General features: G+C 36.4%; 1 protein-coding gene across 1 annotated transcript in view, besides 2 other annotated features; it reads left to right on the forward strand.

Moving 5' to 3' along the window:
- TRHDE (thyrotropin releasing hormone degrading enzyme) overlaps positions 1-27,989 on the forward strand; it is a 583,493-nt gene that overhangs the window by 117,536 nt on the left and 437,968 nt on the right. The gene's annotated exons all lie outside the window — the stretch shown is intronic.
- Positions 9,824-10,623: an enhancer, noted in NCBI's record as "OCT4-NANOG-H3K27ac hESC enhancer chr12:72608405-72609204 (GRCh37/hg19 assembly coordinates)". NCBI's record gives its function as "activates a minimal SCP1, AML or CMV promoter by ChIP-STARR-seq in naive and primed H9 embryonic stem cells {active_cell/tissue: H9 hESC(naive and primed)}" and the evidence as "EXISTENCE:reporter gene assay evidence [ECO:0000049][PMID:30033119]".
- Positions 10,624-11,421: an enhancer, noted in NCBI's record as "OCT4-NANOG-H3K27ac hESC enhancer chr12:72609205-72610002 (GRCh37/hg19 assembly coordinates)". NCBI's record gives its function as "activates a minimal SCP1, AML or CMV promoter by ChIP-STARR-seq in naive and primed H9 embryonic stem cells {active_cell/tissue: H9 hESC(naive and primed)}" and the evidence as "EXISTENCE:reporter gene assay evidence [ECO:0000049][PMID:30033119]".

The following is a 27,989-nucleotide window of genomic DNA, read 5'->3' on the forward strand; positions in this document are numbered from 1 at the left end:
TTTCCTCACTAGTATTTTCAGTGTTTATGTTTATTGGGTTGAGTTGCTTTGTCCTATGTCAGGCCATGAAAAACAGCTGTTCAAAGTTTAAAGGCAAAAAGGTCAAGATTAAGTGGATTTGCCATCTTTATTTCTCTTCACACTTTCTAGGAAGGGTGCTAAATAAACTATGATGTATAATATTTTTACAATGAGGACATAAAATAACATTGTATGCTGGTAAAATAGCTGTAAATTGTTACAGATAATGGAAAAGATGTTATTGTCCTTTCAAGGAACTTGTTTGATAAATGATCTGAGCTAATCCCTCCATAGCGTATGTTTCAGCCACTCAGACTGCTTATTCCTCAAACAATCCATGAACTTCCACTTTGGGTCTTTGTTCATGCTTTTTCATGCCCTTTGGTACACCAAAATTTTACTCACTATTGAAAACTCAGGTCAAATGCTGCCACGGCTCTGAAGCTATAATCCTCTGAATTAGAATTAATACTCTTCCCTGCACCCTTCCCTTCGTGTACCAAAGCACTGTTTTTTTTTTTTTTGAGAAAATGTTTTATCATGCTAAAAAACATATAACATAAACTTATTCTTTTAAAGTTTTTAAGTGTATAATATTGTTAACTATATGTACATCATTGTACAGCAGATCTCTAGAACTGTTTCATTTTGCATGACAAACTTTATACCCACTGAAAAACAACTCTCCATTTCCCTCTTCCCCCAGCCCTTGGCAACCATTATTCTACCTTATTTTTCTATGAATTTGATTACTTTAGATATCCCATGTAAGTAGAAACATGCAGTATTTGTCTTTATGTGACTGGCTTATTTCACTTAACGTAATATCTTCAAGGTTCATTCATGTTGTGGCATATGACAGAATTTTCCTTTTTTAAACAAGGCTAAGTAGTATTCCATTGTATGTCCATACTATATTTTCTTTACCAGTTTATCAATTGATAGACATTGAGGTTGCTTTCACATTCTGAATAATGCTACAATGAACGTGGATGTTCAAATATCTCTTTGAGATCCTGTTTTTAATGCTTTTGAGTATATACCCAGAAACGGGATTATTGGATTTTATGGTAGTTCCGTTTTTAATTTTTTGAGAAGACTCCATGCTGTTTTCCACAGTAGCTGTGCCATTTTATAATCCCACGAATACTGCACAAGGGTTTCAATTTTTCCACATCCTCACCAGCACCTGTGATTTTTCTGTTTTTTGATGGTGGCCATCCTAACAGGTGTGGCATGATATCTTATTATGCCAAAGGACAGATTTTTTTTTTTTTTTTTTGAGATGGAGTCTTGCTGTGTCATGCAGGCTGGAGTGCAATGGTGCTATCTGGGCTCACTGCAACGTCCGCCTCCTGGGTTCAAGTGATTCTCCTCCTTCAGCCTCCCAAGTAGCTGGGATTACTGGGATTACTGGGATTACAGCCTTCAAGTACTTTTTTGTATTTTTAGTAGAGACAGGATTTCACCATGTTGGCCAGACTGGTATTGAACTCCTGACCTCAGGCGATCCGCCTGCCTCGACCTTCCAAAGTGCTAGGATTATAGGTGTGAGCCACCACACCCAGCAGGACTGATTGTTATTTAATTCTGTCTTGGATTTGAGTTAGTTGTTTACATGTCTATTTCTTCACTAATCATAGAGTAGAAACTTTATTTGTAGTAACCTCATAGTGCCTAGTACCTAGTAGGTGTTCAATGCATATTTATATATAATTCCTGTTAGCAGGTTATCTATGTCCTGTTGGTTATATATCTGTCAGCATGTATAGAAAGTGCTGATCTTTTCAACACCAGCCATATACTTCTTTTTTAATAGAAAAATATGGACTGTGTTTCATTATTATCCCTTTTCCCATGGAATTCTATTTTGTTGGGGTAATTATTCTATTACTGTTCCAAAATGAAAATTTTAAAAAAGAAAATTAATACATAATTATATTGCTTTGTGTGTAATAGCTTTATTTTAACATGAAATGTTACATTCTACAAATCAACATGTAAATACTTATATATAATATGTTTATCTACATATAATAATATATATAGGAGAAAGTATTTTGCATATGATGAATTGAACTTGACACTAATGACAACTCAAAGTAAAGAAACTTGTTGAAAGCAACTGGAACTACATGATTTATTGAACACAATGGGATGAAAATGAGACTTTTTACCTTTCTCTTTTAGTGTTATACACTAAGGTTCTCAACATTTTCTATTACAGCTTGCTAAAGTGAATCAATAAATCTCTACATTTTACTTGCAATGTTATTTTATCTTTCTCTTGGACATCTGCTCATACTTCATCCTTTTGAGAAATTTTAAAAGGCTGTTTCCCCCCTAAGATTGCCTGTTATAGCTGATGACCAGAAAAGATATGTGCAAAATAGAAAATGGGAGGACAGCAGGGCTATTACATAAGGTCCAGTCACATTAGCTTAGATCAAAAATGCTTATTCTGTTTTTTATCCCATGTAACCTGATCCTTGGAATCTGACTTTAGGCAAACAAAGAAAGCACAAGCTCAGTGGGACAATTAAAAGGTCACAGTTGAATTCTTTAGGACTTGAATTGAACCTTGTCTAGAGTGACAAGGTTGGGTACCATATGTCAATACTAGTGAGAAAAAAGCACAAAAAAATTGCACAATAAGAGATAGAATTCCCTAATAAAAAGGACAGCAACTTTAGTATATGGCTAGAATTAAATATTTATGCAATAATTACAAAAATAAACCTCAAAAAAGGCACCAATAGATTATAAGCAATTCTGGTAAAATGTCTATGTTGCCCTTTATTAGCAGAATATGTCAGCAGCTGTGTTTGACATGATGGAACAGGATGGTTTATGTTGCATTGCACTTACTCTTCCCTATTCCTTTGTATACAGCAAACTAGGATATCTGCAGGCCTCACCATTCTCTGCAAGCAATGAAGCCACATTAACATTAATGCCTGCATTTTGCTGCTTTGTAGCGCTTTTCTGTACAACTGTGGGACATCAATTTTTTCCTTCTCCCATTTTAAATCTCCCCTGTTTATTTCTAGGCATCTCTGGGAGGGTTCTTATAAAGTCTGAAGAAGAATCCCATTAATCTGCTTTTGTCTCTGATGTCAGCTGCTCATGAGTCACTGTTGGAAGTGTCTCAGCACTGTCGCTGGTGCTGGTGCCGTGCTGAGCATCTCAGACCATTCTGCTGCCCCCTCCATAACTGTCCCACATTTTAGCGCTTGGGCTTTACTAGGCCTGTGTAAATCGTTAAGTCTCATGGAGTTCCTCTTAAACATAGCCTTTCTAGCTTCTACCTTCAACCTTCAGCTATTCGCTAATTTCTACCTTCCATATTCCACCCTCTGCCCTTTATACACACACTCACACACACATTCACACACCCACATCCCTCATACCCTTTACACAGTTCAGACATTCAAGAGTCAAATCTCCCCTTGAACCTAAAACAAGAGTCCTTCCTCATTTCAACTTAAACAAATGGGTTCGGAGGAGGAGGGGCAGGGCACATTCCATGTATTTGCAGTTATTGTTCAGGTTCCACATGAATATCCAACCTGATATTCATGATATAAGAGACAGGGAAAATCAGGGTAAAACAGGTTAGATAGGGAAATGAGAGTATAAAATAGGAAGAGATGAGCTCAGTCATTGCAGCCTCTTGGAAAGTAAAATGAATGGCAGTGGCAAACTGTTGTGCTTAGGAGTACAGACTGCTGGGTTTCAAATCTAGCTCTACTACTTATATGATTTGGGTAAGTTACTAAAATCCTCTGCATCTATTTTTTTCTGATCTGCAAATTGGGAATAATAATAGTATCTATCTCACAGGGTTTTAGTGAAGATTAAATTAGTAAATATATGCAAAGTACTTATGAAGGGCGATATACTTATTGACTGTTATTAATTATTATTGTTTGCCATGAAAACTATCAATCCTAGATTCTATATCCATGCCTTAATCAGGAGGTGAATTAATTCTTGTGTATATGCCCGTCTTGAAGCCACGATCAACATTTCTGAATCCGGAGACAGTTGTGTTCAGCAGGTTGTTAAAACATCCCACTCTTCTTAGAGTCTGAAACCCCCAACCCTCTTCTTCAATGCTATTCTTATGATTTCACTAGGCTCCTATGCCATAGATAATCCCTGCCTTTCTGCGGCTCCGAGCCTGCTACCCCTGCCTTCTTGACCTTTTCAGATTGGCCTCCTTGTCTATTTCTCATCATAGAGGATCTTCCACATGTCTTCTGCTTAGCTGGACTTGTGGTCTTGGTCTCTCTGAGTCAGTCCTCTCCTGTTGAAGCTGTACCCTGCCATGACAGGACTGAATATTTGGAAATTATAAGCAGATGGATTGTGATGAATATGATCTATTTTGCCCTCGCTCATCTCAGTAACAGGTGGCTGCTCAGCCAGCTGGGGTCTTCTTGAGGACACTCTCCCAGGCCTCCCTCTGACCATATGCACTCCCGTCCAGATGGTGACATGGTTCCCCAGAGTCCTGAATCAATGTAATGGGAGATGGCAGGCCTATGCTGATTTTGCCTAGGGTCTAATACAAGCATGCAGTTTTTAAATTTTATTTTCTAATTTGGGGAAAAGGAACAAACCCTATGTGAAAATCATGTTCACAATGTGGTTTCAAATTCTCTCACAGGAAGTCTAAGTTTGTGTGATTAAATTAACATTCATAAATGCCAAGGCAAGGAAACAAATTAATTTAACTGTTGGAAAAGATAGAGATGATTTTGGATCATCTAATAAGCTAATGTATTTGATGATTTACTTCACTGATCTGATTTCTCTGTGTAAAGATTCTTGCTACATTAAAATAGGGGTAAACATGTTTATTCTGTTAAGATTCAACTTGGTAAGAGGTGGAGACCAGTTGCTTTCACTTAAGGTTAAAATAACTACTTTATACTCTATTCCAGAACTAACTTACTTTCAAACAAATTATGGCTTACAAGAACAGTACATATTTGCTTACAGTTATCTCTGCTTATACAGTGTGTTTTCTGATGCATTTATGCAAGTGTTGATTAAATCCTTCATGCTGCTTGAATGTTTATTATCATTGAATTGTTGGTTAAGAAAATCAGAGAAAAATGTTCCAGGATCAAGACGTAGACATTGTTGAGGCCTAAAAAAGAATAAATGATAAGGACATTATTTAAGAGGTTGAAAATTTATAACAACTGCAAGGGGAACAGTTTATGGATGTTTTTCCAGTTAATTTTAAAACCTTAACTATTTAAAGTTTCAATATTAATATTTTTAAATATGAGCTTTGTAATATCTAGAACCACAATGATTTTAAGTTCTATAAGATTGATCTATCTATCTATCTATCTATCTATCTATCTATCTACTTTCTGATAAAGTAGCATATCTATCTTTTGGGTGTGTGTACCTTTAGCATATGACATTAAAAGTTTTAGTAACATTCTTCTCAGTAACATGGCTTCTTCTTGACATGACAGTATTCTGATGATGATCGCCATTGTTTCCCTTGTGCATCATCTATGTTCAATGTGTCTGCTATTGTTTATTTCTTGCCCTGCAGATTAAGCTCAGTGAAAAGGAAAGAAAGGTTAGGAAAGGAGAGAAAACTAATAAAGGACAGAAAGATCAGGATAACAGCAATAATGTTGTCCAAATAATGTTCAATATTTGTGTTAATGGATAATATTTTTAAAAAGAGAAAATTATGACTCCTACAAATATGAAATGAATATATGTCAAAAATTTTATTTAACTTTTTAATTAATGAGAACCAGTAAGATGTTACGACTGGTTAAAAGGAGAATTTAACTTACAACAATTTATATTTTCCTTTGGACAAAGTCTATTTGCATTTGTATGAACAGGAATTATTTGCATAACTTTGAACAAGAAACATTTTCATTACTATCAGTTTTCTAAATAGTATAGTCAAAACAACCAAAGGTAGAGATAATCTTAATGGTTGAGAGTTGACACCAACTTCTTTTCTTTTTCCTTTTTCTTTCAACTATTTTTAAATCATTCATAATACTTTCTGATTCATACACATAGTGCCTAAATCTCAACATAACATTCATAAGGCAAAAAATTTCAAAAGGAGTGTTGCTTTATTTCAAAACTAATGAAATTTTAGAACCTTAGCAGCTGGCTGGCCATGTAATTGATGCCTATCCATTGATTCGACCACCCTCCTAGACCTGACTCCTGTATTTGTTTCCTCACACTTAAAGGGAACTCAATGAGTCAGGTGAGTACTGTGCAAACAGGAACCCTCTGTCTTTTTTCTGCTTCCGGACAAAGCTTTGCTTGCCAGCCCAACTCTTTTGGATTACAGAGGTTCCACACTAGGAGTGGCAAGCAGAGAAGACCAGAGACCACCATTCCCAGCTCTGTTGCAGTGGTGCTAAGGTTCTGCCCAAAGGGAAGGCAAACCATGAGGATGAAGGGCTTCATAGTTCTGGTTGAAGGGACTTACTTTGTATGTAACAGATGGAAAAATATATACTGTGCAAAAAGTAACCATGAAAGAGCTGAAGTGGCTGTGCTAATATTAGATAAAGTAGACTTTAAAACCAAAAAATATTTCTAATGATAAAGAGGAACATTTTATAAAGATAAAATAGTCAGTCTATCAGAAAGATACAATAATCATATATTCAGCAAGCTTTTGATAATTTAATCAGTGATCAAAGAACAACAGTGTACCATTTCTAAAATATTCAGAGGTGTTGATAATACATATTAATTCCAACAATTATTCATCACTATTTTGGTCCAGGAATTATGACAGGCCCCGGGGACGCAAAGCTATATAGACTGCTAGTCTTGAAGAATTCAGGAGATATAGATATTTTAAAAACTTACTAGTTTAATAATCTAATGTGATAAGGGATTTTATAGAGTATTTGGAGAAAGTATTTTAACAAAAAAGACTAATACAATAATAGAATAAAGCTAATTTACCCTGTAGATGAAGTCTTACAAAGTGCATTTATAACATTATTTCATTTGATTGTCACAAGTACTTGCTCTTATGCAGCTGAAACACTTGAAGTTCAGAAAAGCCAAGTCCAAAAAACTGATCTGCAAATATGTTTACAATATATCAAAGAAAAAAACCTGTCTACACAACTATGTGCATTATGTAATCCCACTAAAATGTATACATGCATACCTATACATATATACACAAAAATTAGAATACATTCACAGAAAATAGGGTTTGGAAGCATAAACCAGCAGGCTAGAAGTAGTTGTTTTTGAATAAATAGAATTATGAATGTATTTTGTTTTATTTTTTTTCATGTACATATTTTCTGATTTTTCTCTAATGAACATGTATTCATTGGCTTAGAATTAATGTATTGGCTTATACGTGTTAAATTGACAAAACAATAAAATTGAACCCAAATGTAAGAAGATAAAACTATAACACTCTTAGAAGACTTAGGAGTTAGTCTTTATGATTGACTTTTTAGATTTAATACCAGAAGTACAAGCAACCAAAGGAAAAAAAAAAGATAAATTGAACTTCATTCAAAGTGAAACATTGTGGTATGAATAATAACATCAGGAAGTTAAAAGAATCCACACAATGAAATAAAATGTTATCAAACCACATATCTGATAAGGAACTTGTATCCAGATTACATAAGTATCACAATTCAATGACAATATAACAAATAACCCATTAAAATGGGTAAAGTGTTAGACATTTCTCCCAAGAAGTTATACAAATGATTAATAAGCATCATCATTTACTAAGGAAATGCAAATTAAACTACAATGAGATACCCCTTAAAATCCACTAGGATGGTTATAATGTAAGAGATAGACAATAACAAGTGATGGCAAAAGTATGGAAAAATTGATATTCTTATAAGTTGCTAGTGAATGTACAATGGCACAACCACTTTGAAAAACAGTTTGGCAGTTCCTTAAAATGCTAAACATAGAGTTATCATAGAATCCAGTAGTCACACTCCTTGGCATATACCTGAGAAATGAAAACATGTATCCACACAAGAACTTGTACATGAATGCTCATAGCAGCGTTATTCATAATAGTCAAAAAGTAAAAACAATTCAAATGTCTATTACCTGATGAGTAGATAAATAAAATATAGTGCATCCATACAGTGGGATATTATTTGGCAATAGGAGGAATGAAATACTGATACATGCTACAATATAGATAAACCTTTTCCACATTAAGCTAAATGAAAGAAGATAGTCACAAAAGATTACATGTTATGTATATATGTATGATTCCATTTCTATGAAATGTCCAGAATAGACAGACCTATAAAGATAGCAAGTAGACTAGTGGTTACCTTGAGATGAGGGTGGGGGAGTGTATTGAGAGTGACTGTTAATGGGTATTGGTTGCTTTTAGCGGGACACAAAGATGTTCAAAAGTAGGTTGTGGTGGTTGTTGCACAATCCTGCAAATATACTAAAAACATTGAAGTGTACACATTAAATGGGTAAATTATACTGCAAATGAATTATATATCAATAAAGCTGTTAAAAGTATCTTTTGAGTGCATCACAGTTAGCAAAGGCACTTTTCTAGATATTTCTCTTAAATGCTACAATAAAGTGTGTCGCTATAATACTTATTATTATTTTCAAACAAATTTTAGACAGGGAACCGAGCTTCAAAGAGAAACAGTGACTTGCCCAAGGTGAAATTAACAGAGCTAGAACAGGGATATTAAATCTTTTTAATTGAAATCTGCTCTTTCCACTGTACCATGCCATTGGTTATATTACACCTGCAAAGATCAAACTGCAACATTTTCCATATACTTATCTAACTTATATGCCTGGATTTGTACTGGAATTTTGTAAAATTCAAAAGCAAATTACTTGGCATTATTTGCATGCCATAACATAAAACAAAATTTGTTTAAACTTCTGTGAGCCAATTAAAAGGATTACATATCAGTTGAATAATTAATTTTATTATGGTACAACCCATATCACATAGATCATCTAATTGGGAACTGAGGGGGAAAATGAGCTTTATATAACTAATACTTTAGATCTCCTTAACTTCCATATGCATATTTAGTATGCTAAAATTCCAAATTAAAAATAAAACACAAGCTGCAAAGTGAATGAAAACAGCAACAGTCCTTTTAATCGTTGGTCAGTGCTACATAATTAGATATTTATATTTTTAGGAAAGTTAAAATTTTGTACATTTTACTCAATGAAGATCAAGAATAAATAGCTTGATAATTTCATTATAGATTGTGGGAAGTGCCTTGGAAATGGTAAAGGGTTAATATACTTATTAATCTGGCTAACATTTTTTAGAGAGGGCACGAAGGTCTCCTAAATTCTGCTGCAGTTCTCTTTCCAGAGCACTGCATTCTGAATGCTGAAACGCAACACTTCGTAGAATGTAAAATAAAACCATTAGTTCTCTTTGACCCTATTCCAGGATAATTTGACTAGAAATTAATAACTGTCAACTAGAGATATTTCACTGGCACTAAGGCAAAATGTTGCGTAATTCCTCCTTTAGGTTACTCACATTGCACACCACATTTACATTTGAAAATTAAGTTACTGGCTGGAGTAAGGAAAAGGATTTTAATCTGCAAAACAATTATTGCTTTTTTCTGAGGTCATGAATTTGGTTTTCTAGATATTTTGAAGTGCTGGCTCACTCAATTGCTGAGTAACAAGGCTAATGATAAGGTTTCAATGACTTTGTATTAAAGTATTCAGTGTTTTACATTTGAATGGATCTTTACAAGATATTTGAAACAAAATTATCCCATGACAACAATATTAAACAATAAAAACAAACAAACAAAATCAATGACACATAATGTTTACCTAGTGCTAAATACACGGATTTGTTTTTGAAGAAAAAAACAGACCCTATAAGACAAAACTTAAATTGTGATTAAAATCCATATTTAATTATACTTTTTCTCCTTTGAGATAATTTCTCTTCATCCTACTCCTGGCCAAAGAAACAAAATATTTTTTGTTTATATATATATTCTCCTGTGCTATAGCAGCAAGGAGTCCTGAATCTCTGAAAGCTTTGTAGACATCATTAGAAAGAAAGAATTGTGTCTTTTTCACTTTTTAATTCCATGCAAACGATCATTTATTGAGTGCCTTCTTTGTGTTAGGTGCATTGCATGTGGTCCGTGTGAAGAGACCACGAAACAGGCTTTGTGTGAGCAATAAAGTTTTTAATCACCTGGGTGCAGGTGGGCTGAGTCCAAAAAGAGAGTCAGCGAAGGGAGATAAGGGTGGGGCCGTTTTATAGGATTTGGGTAGGTAAAGGAAAATTACAGTCAAAGGGGGTTTGTTCTCTGGCAGGCAGGAGTGGGGGTCGCAAGGTGCTCAGTGGGGGAGCTTTTTGAGCCAGGATGAGCCAGGAAAAGGACTTTCACAAGGTAATGTCATCAGTTAAGGCAAGGACCGGCCATTTACACTTCTTTTGTGGTGGAATGTCATCAGTTAAGGTGGGGCAGGGCATATTCACTTCTTTTGTGATTCTTCAGTTACTTCAGGCCATCTGGGCGTATATGTGCAGGTCACAGGGGATGCGATGGCTTGGCTTGGGCTCAGAGGCCTGACAGTGCACCCTATCCATGACCTACTTGCCAGTGATGGGAAGCACATGGGTTAGAGCCAGCTTAGGTTCTTAATTCATTATACACTTTTCTGCCACTTCATTCAACAACTGTTTGCTCATCTTCAGCTACCCTTACCAAATTGTCATGGCAATAGTGTAGTTTGGGATCCCACAGCTTTGTTTTCAAGGCTTATTATGATTTAGATAAATTTGGGCTCATGAGGCAGCTTTGTTTGGTGTCTTCAGCAGGAGTTTAAAAGGACAGATGGAAATGTGCCCATGGCATATCAATGCCTTGTAATTCACTGGATGGCGGCAGTGACACCTGAATTCCTGGGATGGGGGTGGTTGGCGCTCAGAAATGGTTGGAGTCTGACAATTTGGAAACGAAGCAGCTACCTTTGAATACGGAAGAGGATTGTGGTTATGTTAATATTTTACTTCTGAATATGCACTTTCGCCAAAAGGAAAAATTTGGATGGGCTATAGATTTAGTTGGAAAAAGTTGGGGTATTGTAACAAGACAAAGCTGGGTTTACATGTCATCTCTTCTATTCTACTAAATGACATTAGGCAAGTTAGTCAATGTGAGTCCTTTTCTTCATTTGTAAGATGTAGATAGGAAAATTTATCACTCTAGTTTGTCATAGTGATTAAATTAGACTATACAAAGACTTAGAAGGCATTTGAGTGTTAGCGAGCTTTATACTTTCCAGAAATCTAGTGAATAAGGATAACCAAGGAAAGACTGGGTAGATTTTGTGTTCAATTCTATGAGACTTCTAGGCTAGCAGCCTGGAATTCATGTGTAGTTACTAAAGCATGCCAGCTCCGTAGTATTTTATGATTTACTGAGCATTGTCAACCCATTATTTCACTTTATTCTTATGAAATCCTTTTGGTAGATGTAGGGCTAGCATTTTACATGTATACTATTTGTTTACAGAAGTCTTGTGACTTAGCCAAAGTCACAGAATTGTTAGGAGAAGCCAAGATAAAAGTCAGGTCTCCTGTCTTCAGCAGTGCCTTCATTAGGGGCCTCTTCTGAGAGGAGGGAATATGGTGGTCTTGCAAGGTTCATGGCATTCAGATCAATTGAACCTACAATTTCTACTTCATTTATTCTCCTGTAAAATATGCACCTTAAAGAGAAAAAAAATGCCTTTTAAGGGAAAACACAGAACACGTTCTAGTAATAGTTTTGTACGCTTGACAATTTATGCTGATTGATTTGTTGTGTCACCAAACAAATATCATTTTTATATTTTCAATTACCATTTACATTTCCTCTAAGATTTTATACCAGTCTAGTCATCTAATGAATTAAATTTGCATTCATTTCACTTCAGAAAGGTTGAGAGAATTTCCTATTATGAATAATTTAATGGAAAAAATTTACATAAATTGAATTCTTCGAATTTCGTTTTAATGGTATTGGTCATGAAAAGTAAATAGCAACCTAACTTCATGGGTATTTTTGCATTTTGTGTCTGAATGGATTTTAAGGTAATGCTAGTTTTTTTTTTTTTAAGTAAGATTGTATTAAATAAGTTGTTTATATGAGCAATTATAGTTGTCTGATTTTACTATATACTCCATAAATGATTTCTTTTGGAATTTCAGTGTACATTGCTGTCCTAAGAAGAGAAAATAGGAAGTGGATAATGTTTACTGGCAAGAAATCTTAAAAAAAGAAGAGCAGAAATGAAGGTATAGGAACAGGTTCATATACACAGTATCTTTACTCTTTCCTGCTCAGGAAATCAGGCCTAGTAATGAACTTTGATTGTTCCATTCAATTTCAGCTAGTAGCTGTAATGAATCAAGTTACTCTATAACCTCATTAATACTAAATACCTCTCTTTCTAGCCTTTGGTTTCCTAAATAACTATCCATCCACATCTTGGTTAAGGACTGTTCCTAGTGCCTTTAGTAATCAATGGATGGTAGCCTTACTCAACAGCTTCTTAAAAAGCCAAAGATCATTTACTATATTTGGAAAAATTCAATGGATATCTGACAGCACGTGAGAGTTCCTTGCATCTGTCAATCTCTTATTTGGTCATCAATGTGCAGTCTGTCAGTTAGATGGTCTCTGTAGGTAGAAGTAAGCCTTGTTAATCTCTATAAAACCCAGAAATCCCTGCTCCATCATTCCAACTTAATGGCTGATTTTTATGCTGGAAGAACAGTGCATATACATTTAAAGCAGCAAGATCTCTGCAGATTCAACAGAATGCTAAGTGAAACAGAGATGCTTTCGTTGCACAATATAATGAATCAGAAACATGAGAAACATAAAAATTTTAAAAACATAGGCTTAAATGTCAGATTGCAGAACAACAACCACCCAAGTTTTTTACTATGTTTGATGGGAAGATGTTAGAACAAAATATTGCACTTATCTTACAGAAACCTAGAGTCACATATACTCATTTATTTCTGCATATTAAGACAAACTTTAAGATTAGTATTAAATTTAAAATTTTTTGTCTATAACAAAAATGTATACATGATTATGATTGATGATGTAGGTCACTTCATGATCTAGCAATGGCAAATAAGTAGTCTATATCAATAGGCTTGAATTTTACTTTCATTCATGGTCATTCATTTATTGGAACAGATGTGTAATAAAACATTACACATCTGTTCAAATAAAGATACTAATGTGAGTTATAGATAATATAGGCACAGAAAAAATGTGAAGTTACTTTCCATATGATCACAATTTTGTATAAGTGAGATTTTAAAGGGAAAATAATAGAAAATGTTATCATTGTGGCTTCTGGATCAGGTATAAATTTCATCAAACAAGTCTGATTAAAAATGTAGCTTATGGCTATGTATGATTACCAGCTCTCAGCTAAAGGAAATGCAAAGTTGGGAGAATTGTCACTTTGATATTCTTCTTCTGACATAAAATACCAAATACAATGGCCTTTCTCAGACCATATATTCCTACAATTTCTTACATTTTCATGATGCTGTTTTTTTTCTCATTCTTCAATTTGAATAACCCCATGTATTAGTTTCTTAAGGTTGCTGTAATAAATTACTACTAACTGGGTGGTTCAGGACAACAAAAATATATTCTCTCAGAATTTTAGAGCCTAGAAGTTTGAAATCAAAGTATCAGCAGGGTTGGTTTCTTCTGGAGGCTCTAAGGGGGATGCATCTCAGCCCTTTCTCCTAGCTTCTGGGGGCTTTGGGCAATCCTTGATGTTCCCTGGTTTTTACTGCATACACATAACTCTAATTCATCTCTGCCTTCACATGGCCTTCCCATCTGTGACTCAGTGTCTCAATTCTCCCTCTCCCTTCTTCTTATAAGGAGACTTGTTATTGGATTTAGGGCCCACCCAAAATCTGGATGACCTTATCTTGTAATCCTTAACCTAATTATATTTACTAAGATGCTTTCTCCAAATAAGTTACTGAGGGTTAGGACTTGGACATAACTTTTGGGGAGCTATTATTCAACCCATTTTAACCCCTTATCCCTTAGTTTCACAAATTGGTCAAGTCCAATCTAAATTTTGCCAGAGAGCAAAGAAATAAAAGAATCAATGACAATAAAATTTTCACAAAGTCAAATGAATTAAATGTAGAGAATGGTTCTTTATTCTGAGGTTAGTCCTCCCTAGTTTCTTCTTATTAAAATGTGATAGTAATAGTAGATGGCAATTATTTTAAAATGTTTTGTGTATTTTTTTTTTTTCTTGGCACATTTTGGAAAAGACTGTACTAATGCAATCAAACTCCTAAACTGATTTATCTATCAATTTATTAGGACTCTTATTTGCCAGTGGCCAAAACTGTTTCTGAGAATATAGCTGCTTGAAGTTTTGGACTCATTCATCTGACATATATTCTTAAGTGCTTATTTTGTGCCCATCACTGTCTTGCAATAAATAAGACTAAGAATGTTTTTGTTCTCATGAAACCCAAATTGTAGTAATCCACATTTTTTCAACTTGATCACCAAGAGGTAAAAAAATCTCCACAGCTGCAGTGAGAGTCATTTTCAGGGAAGGATTCCAATTGGCTCAGCCTGAACTATGTGCCTTCCCACCCTTGAACCAATCCCTTTCCCATCCTGGGTCACATGCTCAGCCCTGGGGGTCCACATGACAGGCCTATTGCTAAAAGGAGGTGAGAGAAACTGCATAGACAAAAACAGAAGATGTTGATGACCATTACTAAAGGTCATCACAAAAGTGTGTTTTTGTGCACTACAAGTGCATAGCATTCAGTTTTGGATTTTCCCTGTTAGTCCATGGTCCTTTTGTCCATCTTGGTATTTATTTCATGTGTGTGTTCACTGGAGGTCTGCTGAGATGTTGTACCTGATGTTGGGAATGTAAATATAAATAGAACACAGGTACTTCCCCCAAATAACTCATAACTTGTAGGCAAGAACAATTGTAAACATTCAATTAAAACATAACATGGTAATTACTCTCATTGGGATCTGGGAAAAGCACTGTTTGCAGAAAGAAATAACTAACCAAGCCTGGAATGGGTTAAGATTGACAAATGAAAGAAGCATGGAGTAAGCCTTACAGGCATAAATAAAAAGTGGGATGTGAAAAGGCACAGGCTTTTGAAGGAGTACTGCATACTTTCAGACCAGTTTAGGGTAGTTAGATCAGTTTAGGATGTGTGGTGGAGGGGAGAGTATGAAATGGGGCCAGAGGTTACAGAGTGAAAGCCTTATATGACTTGGATTGCATCTTTTAACAAGCCTCTTAAATGTCTTTGTGGTGAGTGGATTTTCTTTTCTTCAGTCCTGAAAGTTGTTATCCAATTATTATTCTTAATGCTTGTTTTGGTCATGTTATCTTTTTGTTGAAAAACTGACATAGACTGCTATGACCTAAAACATATAGTCTAGGCTTGCAGCTCTTGTTTTAGAGATAATACAAGTGAAGCACTTGAGACAGTACCTGGCAGGCACATGGCCAGTTCTCATTTCATGTAAATTACTCTTGTTATTTGTGTTGTTAGCCTGGCATTCCTGCATTCTTTAGGTTATTTTTTCAATTTCTTCTATCATCACTTTCCAATCTGTCCAAAACCCAAGGAACTCATTCTTTCCCAAATGTGTCTTGTTTCTTTCCAGCTTTGTTCCTGTAGTGTCTTCATAGGTTGGAATCTTACCCATACTTCAAACTCTCACTCAAAGGTTACTCCCATCCCCCTTAGTCAGAAGTTATTTCTTCTTTCTTCTTATATAATTTTGCTTGAACCTCTTTGAAGACGTTTAACATGGAGTTTTATACTATAGTTATTTATGCATGTGACATCTTTTTACATCAACTTGTCTCTAATTTTTTGTTGTTGTTGGCTGACTTTTCTTCCACCAAGGACTGCTACTGGATATTTTTGATGTGGGTTTTTTTGTTGCCTTTCCTTATTATGAAAGTTAGTATAGGTGTGGTTGTTTCTAAGAGAGCTTTAAATAAATATAACAACTTTTATTTTTTTAAATGTATTAAAATCATTAACTTTTTTCTGAAATCTTTAGCCAATGAAACAAGAGAAGATAATGAAATGAGGTATAAATATTAGAAAGGAGGCAGCAATATTATAATTATTTGCAGAAGATATAATCATCTACTTGGAAACAAAGTCTATTCAGTTTATTTGAGAGAATAAACTGAAAAGCTTTAGGAAGATATAGAGAGTTTAGTCAGGTAGTTATAAACAGACAATACTTTTGCAATATGCCTATTAGAAAATATGTGTGTATGCGTTTTTGGGGAAAAATGATACAATCTAATAGCACTTGCAACAGAAGTAGAAAATGCTTAAGAATAAATTTATGAAGAAATCCTCAGGAGCATGGAAAGAATCAAACTCAAGAGTTATTGAATATCATGAAAGAAAGCTTAAATATATGAAGAAATATATCAAGTTCCATGGGACATCTTACTATTGTAAAACAAGCTAATCAGTAATCTTTTTTGTTTATTTATCTTCAGACCTTGAAAATTGTTCTAAAATTCATCCAGCAGACTAGAGATAACACTACTGAAATGGCAATTCAGGATGAGAAGAGTCCTACTCATTATTAAAATGTAGTATACAGCTATATTTAAAATAGTGTAGAAAAGGTGCAGAACTAGGGAGAGAGATCAGTAGTTTAAAGGAAAAAGTCCAGAAATAGACACAAGAATATGAACATATTTGACCTAGTAGGTGTGGCTTTTAAAAAGAACAAATAGAAGGTGGAATATTTCATATATGACATTAGGATAACTGACAATATTTGGGGAAAAAAACCAAATTTAGGTCACCAGAATACCATACATTCAGCTATCTACTAACTAACTAATAGTGGCTTAAAACAAGACCTGTTTTTATTATCTCTCACAGATTCTGTGGGTCAGGAATTTGAGAAAGGCCCATATGATTGGGTCTGGCTCATGGTTTCTCATGCAGTTGCAGTGAAATGATGGTTTGGAGCAACTGGGTTCTGGACCAGCATCTCTCTGTGTAGTGTCAGGGCCTCTTCATGTGGTTCCTTCTCATGGGTGACTTTGGGCTGCCTCACAATGTGGAAGCTTCAGGGACTCCAATTTCTTACATCGTGGTCGAAGGCTTCAGGAGCAAGTATTTCAGCAAGGAAGACAGAAACTAAATTGTATTTTGTGACTGAGCTATGGAAGTCTCACAGCATCATTTCTGCCACATTCTCTTGGTTAACACTGGAAAAAAAAAGTCTGTCCAGATTCAGGGGTAGAGGACATAGATCTGCTTTTCTGATGGAAGGGTTGTCAATATCAGGGTAAGAAGAGTATGTGGAATGAGAGAGATTGTTCCTGGTAAGAAGAGCATGTGGAATGAGAAAGATTGTTCCAGCCATCTTTGGAAAATATAGCCTGCCACACTAAGTCACAGGTTGCTGACTGGGACCTCTTGGATATATCTGAGGGAAAGTCTCCTCATCTCTCTGCACTGATAACTGGCATCGTAGATCAATGATTTTCAAATGTTAGCATGTGTCAGAATCACCTGGAGGCTTCTTAAAACAGAGATTTCTGGATCCTTTGGCTGGGTTTCTGATTTGTTATGTCTGGGGATAAGAGGATGAGAATTTGCATTTCTGGTAAGTTCCAAGGTGATATTGATGCTACTGGTCTGAGGAACACATTTTGAGAACCTCCATTCTACATTATAGCACTTGTTTCTTTTTGCTTACTAGTGTCCTTCATGTGGATGTCACGGCCTGAGTAAGCAATCCTTTTCCATGGTTAAATCCCTTTCAGGATTGTTCCAGACCCCTATCTGCATTCATAGTGGTCCTAGGGAGATCAGTGGGCTAAGGAGAATAGGAGAAATTTCCAGGCTTTGTGAATTTCAGCCAGCCTGCACCTCTACCATTTGGAGTGCAAAGGTTACTTGAGTTTTTGATGGAAAGGAATACTACAGAAGATAATTTGTTGCCATCTGACCCCTTAAAAAACTTTTGCCTCAGGTGCCAAAGATAAAGCTCCTCCTTTTATTAATATCTTTTATCAAAGGGTGGCTGATAACCTAAGACAAGTTCTATTTACATAGCACTGTGGTGATGGGCCCTATATGACAAGTGTTGCTATACTGCCCAAAACTTTTCACCAAGTCAGCATAGTGACCTGAGAAAGAAATTACAAGAGGCAATCTGGGATCCCAATATCAAATTTAAATATTCTTATAGTCTCCTTTTATGGCCTTAAAAAATTTCAGGTGTAATTAATCCATGTGAGAAGACCCGAGTTTAGCTGTAAAATCAGAAAATGAGGGCAGATTGTACAATATAGTCTCCTGGGATCTGAAATTGGTGATGATATCATGGAAGCTTGGCATCCAGAGGACATCTGGAGATTTATTTTTCCTGGTTTTACAACCCAAGGTTAACAGCTCTGAACTTTGTAGAAACCCTGATACTGTGACTGGTAAAGTTATTCATAGTTAACTTAAAAGCCAAGCCAAATAAAGTAGGCAGGGAAGAGCATCTTTTCCCATAATTGCTCAAGGGCAACTTTGAATATTGGGCTCTGATTCTGCCCATATTTATGTAAGATCACAGTTCTGTCTCAGTACACATAGAATCTCCCTTGTTCAGTTTTTTTAAAAAGATAAATATTTTCTAACCCCAAATTACAGACCTGTTAATGTAATAGAAATTTATCTACCTGTCTATCTTAATCAGTATATTCAGCAATATAAACTCAGTTGTATATAGATTTAAAAGATCTTAATTTTCTCCAATAATTGACTTCAAACATGCTTACTTGACATGCCCTTTTTCATCCATTATGTAGAACTTGGACAGATCTCATTGTTTTTCAGTCCCTTTCAGGTGTACAAAGTTCAGTTTAAGGATTCTATCTCGCATCCAGCTCAAAGCATTACCTAGCCTCTAATTCACCCTTGGCCAGGTAGAGATCCTTGCTAAGAAAGGGAACAGAACCTATCATTTTTCTTACTTTTTTTTTTTCTGGGCTACTCTATCCCTTGGGGTATTGAGGCCAGACGTAAAGGACGGGTGAAGGAGAAATGTCTCCTGTTTAAGTCACAATACTGCAGTCTTCTCTTTATAGAACTAATTATGTATATGTGTCCTTCCTATCTATCTATCCATCTATCTATCCATCTATCTATCTATCTATCTATCTATCTATCTATCTATCTATCTATCTATTTATCTATGTATGTATGTATGTATGTATCTATCTATCTATCTATCTATCTATCTATCTATCTATCTATCTATCATCTATCTATGCATGTATCTATTTCAAACTTTGGTTACAAATATGAAGGACCCCCCCCTAGGTAGACCAGAACCAGAGCTGTTAGGATTACAAGCCGCTAAAAATCTCTGGACCTTTGCAGGTGATATCTACCCAAGAAAGGGCTATAGGTTGTGGTGCTCCGGAATAATGGTTATGGTGATATGGGAAGGCCAGCCAGTCAGGTTGATCTCTCAATATTATATCCTATTCATACCAATTTGCTCCATATCACTAACTGGACTTTCGTGACTGAAAAATATTATTTTTTGCTTGGAATTTGGTTGTGAGAGCATCAGGTCACATGATTCCCCAAGGGAGGGTTGTGGGAGAGATTACTTTTTAGAGGTGGTAATAAGTTCTGCATCCTTATGAAAGAGGTGGGGTTCTCTGCAGGTTTTCTTCACACTGGGGGTTCCCCTGGATTGCCATTATGAGCTACTCAAAGATAGCAATCAACAAGCTATAATTCAGTAACAACAAAATTAACTGCTAGGATACAGTTTTATACTAATGAGTATTTTGCAGCATTTGTATTTTATAAACCACCTTAAGGCATTAAAGTGAGTTATAAACATCTTCAGTGGTATGATTATTAGCCATATCTCTCCACTAATGCAACTACACAAATAGTTACATTTTAAATAATCTTAACCTCCCCTCTCTTTAAAATAGTCATTATCTCACTCAGCACTTCATATTTTAATTCCAGTGTTTATTCTAATTTATTTATTAATACTGGATCTAAATAATTTTAGGTTTACTTTGATACTAATAGCACAAACTCCATTTGCATTGATCTTAAGTAAACTTTCCTATTCTTGAAGCATTGGAGTTCTGCAGAGAAATACACCTCTTCCTGGCAAATAATAATATAATAGTATGCTGTCTGTCATATACTAAAATGATGTAATTGACCAACTGTCAGGAAATGTTCTCTAAAGTTTTTTTCTAGTGATCATGTTGAATTACTCTGTTGGCTGTAGTTAGAGATGTAGTCTTGCAGAAAGATATTTCTCTCTTTGAAGTTAATTGACTCAGATAAGGAATGAATGTGCAACATTAGCCTCATAAGCAGCACACCCTCTAACCAAGTGAATTGCTTAAATAATATTTATCACCATTATGTATAAAAATCTATTGTTTATTAAAAGCCTAGTGCATCTGCTTCTCACACAGCATTAATTCATCTCCAGCTATCCAGAAAGTTAGGGAAAAGCCAGTGGAAAGACAGAAGAAAGCCAGGAAATAGGAGTAGGTAATGGGAGGATGAAGTATCAGTTAGCTTTAAGCACAAACACTAAAATTCATTCAAAAGCTTTTCATCCCAGTTTGGAAAAAATAATTGTTTTGGTTTCCTTGTATAAAAGGTGAGTTATTAAGCATTTAATGTAATACGTGAAAGGTCAACTGTATTGTTTCTTTCCTTCTGTTTATAATCACACCATTCTCCTTGGGAGGTGGGAGATCAGTTATTGTATTCCTAAAGAAACCAGGAAAATGAATATTTCTTTTGTGGTCCTGAAGTTTGAAGTTTCATGATGTGCCATTAAAACGGGGCCAGGAAAAGAAAGGCTAGGTGTTTGTATTTTTCCCAGGGGTTGGAGAAATGAAGGTTTGACCTTTCAGGAAGTAGGTGAGTTCCTCAGAGAAGAAGGAACCAGAGACCGATTGTTAATTTATGTGGTGAAGACTGGGATCTCACCAGAAAGTAGTGTCTAAGAGGTGTCATGACTCCGCAGATGATATTTGTCTAGGTGTCAGCAAGGACCGTGTACCAAAAGCTGTCCTGTGGGGACCACAGATTAGCTGGATGCTAATGATATGAATGCCATCTGCAGAACAGTCCACCTTTGGGTGTGCATAGGCATGATGAGCATTTCAAGTGAGACCAGGATCTCTCCTTTATTTCCACAGGATTTTGTAATCCCACGGGTCTTTATAAGCTTCTGTGAGAGGGAAGGAAGCCATTTAAAATGACTGACATTGCTGACCATGGCAAGTGAGGTTCCAGAGGTAGATTTGATTTGATATAAAAAGGAAACATAACATTCTTAGCCCTTTGTGTATGAGGAGAAACTGCTCATATTAGCATGCACACCTTACCTCGTTCACTCCTGAGAATTTCTAAAGGGATTAGTGGTATTCCTTGCTGTTCACATTCTCATTCCCTTTAAACTCCGATATATACAAAAGTGTGGAAACAATATTTTTATTTTGGGGAAACTCTTTAAAATAGGGTCAATTAATTTTAACTGCAGCGTATTTGAATGGAAAAATAGTTATATTAATAAAATATAAATTACTTCTGTTTAGTAGAAATTCAAGTCATGATCTTTAGCTTATATAAAATAAGCAGACTGTAAGCCTCATTGCTGATTTGTGAATTCCAGAGACCAAATAGTAGTTATTTGACTTACTGCAATGAAGAATACACTAAAGTGATAAATAGAATCATCATTTAAATGTGCTGAGGCTGGCATAATTTAATATGTCATGGAGTTGGCATAAAGTATTTAGAAGTACTCTAAAATGAACAACAGACAAACATAACCTCTAATTGAACTGGCACATGGCTGAGAAACTACAGATTTTTGTTACGATTCTATCAGAGGATAATTAGCTGAAAAGATAAGAATGGTACCTAAGATTAATGATAACATCAATAAGCTACTTGAACTCAATAGGCTGAAAAATGAATATGTGGAACACAGCAATTAAGCACCTTTGGTTTAAATAAAGCACCCTTAGTTGCCAGGAAAATTTCCCATGGCATTTGTGTTTCCATTGGGAAATATTTCTTGGGATTGGGATAACCAAAGCATTTCAAAAACAATGGAAACAATAACCAAGGTAAAAATATTTTAGAAATAAATAAACTCTTCCTGGCTATTAATATCTTAAGTTCTTAGCAAAATAACAGAGTAGATATTAAGAAAAAAAGTATTATATATGTGTATTAGTCTTTTCTCATGCTGCTAATAAAGACATACCTAAGACTGGAAATTTATAAAGGAAAGCAGTTTAATGGACTCATAGTTCCACATGGCTGGGAAGGCATCACAGTCATGAAAGAAGACAAAGGAGAAGAGCAAAGAGATGTCTTTCATGGTGGCAGGCAAGCGAGAGCTTGTGCAGGGAAACCCCCCATTTATAAAACCATCAATCTCATGAAACTTATTCACTATCACAAGAACAGCATGGGAAAGACTCACCCCTGTGATTCAATTAACTCCAACTGGGTCCCTCCCATGACATGTGGGAATTGTGAGAGCTACAATCCAAGATGAGATATGGGGGGACACAGCCAAACAATATCGTTCTGCCCCAGGCCCCTCCCAAACCTCATGTCCTCACATTTCAAAACCAATCATACCTTCCCAACAGTCTCCCAAAGTCTTAACTAATTTCAGCATTAACTCAAAAGTCCACAGTCCAAAGTCTCATCTGAGACACAGCAAATCCCTTCTGCCTATGAGCCCGTAAAATCAAAAGCAAGTTAGTTACTTCCTAGATACAATGGGGGTACAGGCTTTGGGTAAATACAACCATTCCAAATGTGACAAATTGGCCAAAATGAAGGGGCTACAGGACCCATGCATTCTGGGAAATCCAGTGGGGTAGTCAAATCTTAAAGCTCCAAAATGATCTTCTTTGGCTCCATGTCTCATATCCAGGTCATGCTGATGCAAGATGTGGCCTCCCATGGCCTTGGGCAGCTCTGCCCCTGTGGCTTTGCAGGATATAGACCCCCTCCTGGCTGCTTTCATGGGCTGGCATTGAGTATCTGCAGCTTTTCCAGGTGCACAGTGCAAGCTGTCAGTGGATCTACCATTCTGGTGTCTGCATGACAGTGTCCCTCTTCTTACAGTTCCACTAGATAGTGCCCCAAGTTGGGACTCTGTGTGGGGGCTCCAACCCCACATTTCTTTTCCTCACTGCCCTAGCAGAGGTTCTCCATGAGGGCTCTGACCCTGTAGCACACCTCTATCTGGACAGCCAGGCATTTCCATCCAGCCTCTGAAATCTAGGTGGAGGTTCCCAAACCTCGGTTCTTTACTTCTGTGCAACTAGAGGCCCAACACCACATGTAAGCTTCCAAGGCTTGGGGCTTGTACCCTCTGAAGCAATGTCTTGGGCTGGATGTTGGCCTGTTTTAGCCATGGCGTGAATGCAGGGGACCAAGTTCAGAGACTGCACAAAGCATGAAGGCCCTGGACTTGGCCCAGGAAACCATTTTTTTCCCTCCTAGGCCTCTGGGCCTGTGATGGGAGGGCCTGCTGTGAAGACCTCTGATGTGCCCTGGAGACATTTTCCCCATTGTCTTTACTTATGCAAATTTTTACAGCTGGCTTGAATTTCTCCTCAGAAAATGAGTTTTTCTTGTCTATTGCATCATCAGGCTGCAAGTTTTCTAAATTTTTATGCTCTGCTTTCCTTTTAAACATGAGTTCCAACTCCAAACCATGTCTTTGTGAATGAATAAAACTGAATGCTTTTAACAATATCCAAGTCATCTCTTGAATGCTTTGCTGCTTAGAAATTTCTTCTGCCAGATGTCCAAAATCATCTCACTCAAGTTCAAAGTTCCACAAATCTCTAGGGCAGGGCAAAATGCTGCCAGTCTCTTTGCTAAGGCATCACAAGAGTCACCTTTTCTCCAGTTCCCAACAAGTTCCTCATCTCCATCTGAGAGCACCTAAACCTGAACTTCATTGTCCATATCACTATCAGCATTTTGGTCACAACCATTCAACAAGTCTCTAGGGAGTTCCAAACTTTCCCACATCTTTCTGTCTTTTTCTGAGCCCTCCAAACTGTTCCAACCTCTGCCTGTTACCCAATTCCAAAGTTGCTTTCACATTTTCAGGTATCTTTACAGCAGTACCCCATTTCTGGTACTAATGTCTGCATTAGCCCATTCTCATGCTGCTAAAAAAGACACACCCAAGACTGGTAATTTAAAAAGGAAAGAAGTTTAATGGACTCACAGTTTCATACGGGTGGGGAGGCCTCACAGTCATAGCAGAAGATGAAGGAAGAGAAAAGGCATGTCTTACATGGTAGCAGGCAAGAGTGAGCTTGTGCAGGGGAACTCCCCTTTTTAAAACCATCAGATCTCATGAGACTTATTCACTATCACGAGAACAACATGGGAAAGACCTCCCCTCCATGATTCAATTACCTCCTACAAGGTCCCACTCATGATGTGGGAATTGTGGGAGCTACAATCCAAGATGAGATTTGGGTGAGGACACAGCCAAACCATATCAATATGCATCCAGAGAGTAGTAAAAGCCTGGGTGATAAGCAGCATGGGCTGATACAGAACAGATCATGTCAGACATTGAATTGCATTCCTTTGATCAAAATACAAAGTGGATGAAGGGAATTCAGTAGATGTAATATATCTGGACTTTACTAAAATCATTTGCTTAATGCCTTATGAAAGCTTACTTAATATTTTAATTAAAATTAGCTTAACTATTTATACCGATACATAGCTTGAAATAAAGTTATACATAAAAAAGGGAGATGAGATTTAGCAGCAATCTATGAGGTGAGGAAGAGGGAAGTGGAAAACTCCCTAATGCACACTAGAAGAATAATTGGTCTTTAAAGATAATGAGAACTGTCAAAAGAGGAAATAGGTGAGATGCTAATACCATGTTACAGGTCAGAATGGACTTCTCAAATGTGATAACAGTATTCATTTTAAGAGACATGGGAAAATAAATATTTTTACAATATAAGAAATGACACAAATATTGTCAGTCTCTAGATGTGCTAGCAAGAGGGTCTCTGGTCTGCCACCACCTGACGGTTTTGTTCCTACAAAACTCCTGAGTTATCAAAAGTTGTGTTCTAAAAACTGTTGTGCCCATGAGAACAAAAGGGCCTTAAGACCTAAAGAGCTGTAAAAAAAACTTGCAAAAATAAAATTGTATTTTCTGAAGAAATTTTAATAAATATTACCTTAGACCCTATCTAGGTTTGGGTCATTAATAATGCTCTTTGTTTTCTCATCACTATTAACGATACCACCAGCACAGTGCTTCCGTACATTCTTACCATACTTATTACATCTATTATGATAAAGAAAGCAGCTGTCGTAACAGTTGCTTCAGTTTTACTTCTTACATGAATGCATTGGCAATAAGACATGATCCTGATATAACCAATAATCTGTGTTTTGCAAAACATGTTTTCTAATGTATCAATCACATCATAGTCAATTTAGAATATGGAAATTCACTCTGTCAAATAAAAGCTGTCCGTAGAAGTAAATTGTTCAGCCACATACCCAAAATATATCTCATTCAGAGTAACTGGTTAAAATTTGCAGTAGCTGCTACTAGATAGAGAAATCCTATGATGGCCGAGTAAACTGATATTTTAACAAATTCCAGAGCTCCCCACTCACAACCCTAAGCTTTTCCCAGAGTGGCTGATTGCAAAAGCTCTCAGGACACAGAAAGACCCATCGACCTTATCAGAGCAGGGAGATGCATTTTCCTTCTACTCTCCTTACTGTAAAATTCCACTCCAGCCAAATATGCTTATAAAAGTTGGTTGTGCCTTATAAACTGCTTAAGCTTATAAACTAGAAAATACGGTAATGTAGCATAAAACTCTATTTAAGGCAAACATACTGTTACTATGAATCATTATTCTGTTTTCATTCGCTGTGTAGAAATGTAAATGAAAAATAACATACTTGGGTTATTTTAGGACCAAGTATTAATATAAATTGTGAAAAAGAAGTAACAAAAATGATGTTGTCATTTTGGAATTTGGACATTTATCAACACTTAGATATCAGAACTATGTCATCAGAATTAATTCACATACTAGGCAGAAATTTAGCAGATAAGAGTTTTAACTGTCTTTTGATTAAAAAAATTAGAAGTACATAAAAATATATTTTTATGTTACAACCAAGGACAGGCATGAAAATTAAAAAAAAATCAGCACACACAAAAGCAACCAAAATATTGAATGTTTCCCTAGTCACTGAGACAACTGTAACATCTGGGATCAGGTTTTTATAGGTTCTAGTATTTAGTTACATTCCCCTCCCTCTCAAATCACAGTCTAATGTGCCAATATCCAAGTTTGAAAAACATATTATGCAGTATTGACAAAATTTACTTGCTTAAGGAAGTCCCCCACCCCCTTTTGGAGGAATATTAAGCTTGATAAGAGTTCTGTTGTGCGATAGTTTAGGAAATTAACTTATTAAATTCCCATCAGACTTTGGAGTGGCCCATGAGGCCATTACCGCCTTAGCTGCTTTTGTGTTATCAAACCAAACAGGTGTTTTTCTTAGAGCCCAGAAAATGCAGAACATAGAATCTCTAGGGAAACCAGCTTCTATGGTCTGTAGCTGGTTACTTCTAAAAAAAACTACCCATTTTCTTGGGTCACAAGATCTTCTGGAAAGACTATGCTTAGCTCAGATTTGGTAACCTCCTTGCTGAACATACTGCTTATTATTTAGGTGGTGGATGACATCTGATTAGGAAGCACCACTTCAGAGTTAATGGTGGGGACAACTGGAGTTAGGCTATGGAGTGATGACAAGGGGTGATGGTTGTATAATCAGAGCTGGAGTAGAATTTTTTTGCCATAAGGAAAACTTTTATTTTGTGTAGGAAAGCTAATTAACGTGCCTTTTAGTTACAGCAGACCCAAGACCTAGTCTGAATGGAAAGAAAACTACCCCTATTTCTCTGTTGAGGAATAAAATGAATTTGTAAATTGTCTACTGGCTGCTAGGTAGGGACTTGTTTGAAAATGTACTTGGGATTTTGGTTTTATTCAGGTATGGCGGGGCCAAGAGATAAAGAGACAACTGCCACTGAAAAGATAGTTTGTTGCTCATAGTTCTCAAGAGGAGGGGTACACCAGGCCATGCAGGGCAACATGGGAAGTGCCAGGGTCAGTCAGGAGATAGAATGATCAAGGGCAGGCACAGACAGAGACTTTACTGTGCTTCTCACAGGAAGGAGTGGGCCAGGCAGGTGAGCTGCTCAGCAGTCTTCGGATTGGACAGTTTGAATAACTGTAGCAGGCTCTGGCCTATAGAGGTGGTCCCTCCTTGTCTAGTACCTGGCCCTAGGGTAATCGGGGCAGAGGAATGCTGCCTCCAGGTGTGTGAAAGTCAGATATAGAAGGTGCTGGAATATGGGCTTTGGTTTGGTGAGTTTGTGTGTAAAAGTGGACTCCAGGGTGAATAGTTTGCTATTTTTAAGAATTGACTACATCTAGGAGGGGCAGTCTCTCCCTAGTCAGCGAGGGCCCAGATAACAGAGCATCAAGAATACAGAAAATAACAAAATAATAGAGTTAATACAGAACTCTAGAATCAGGAGAAGGGTCTAGGTGGTGAGAAATTTGAGAACTCAGCCCCAGCATCCTCTTTGCTAAACTCTAGTATTCCAGGGAGGCTCTGACCTTTGCATTTGCCATTTTCCGCTACCTAAACTACTCTTGCCAAACATATCCCCATGGCTTCTTCTCCTATTTCCTTTATGTCTTTTTCTAAATAACACCTT

The sequence above is a fragment of the Homo sapiens genome, chromosome 12, assembly GCF_000001405.40.
Source record: "Homo sapiens chromosome 12, GRCh38.p14 Primary Assembly".
In the NCBI taxonomy this organism is placed as follows: Eukaryota; Metazoa; Chordata; class Mammalia; order Primates; family Hominidae; genus Homo; species Homo sapiens.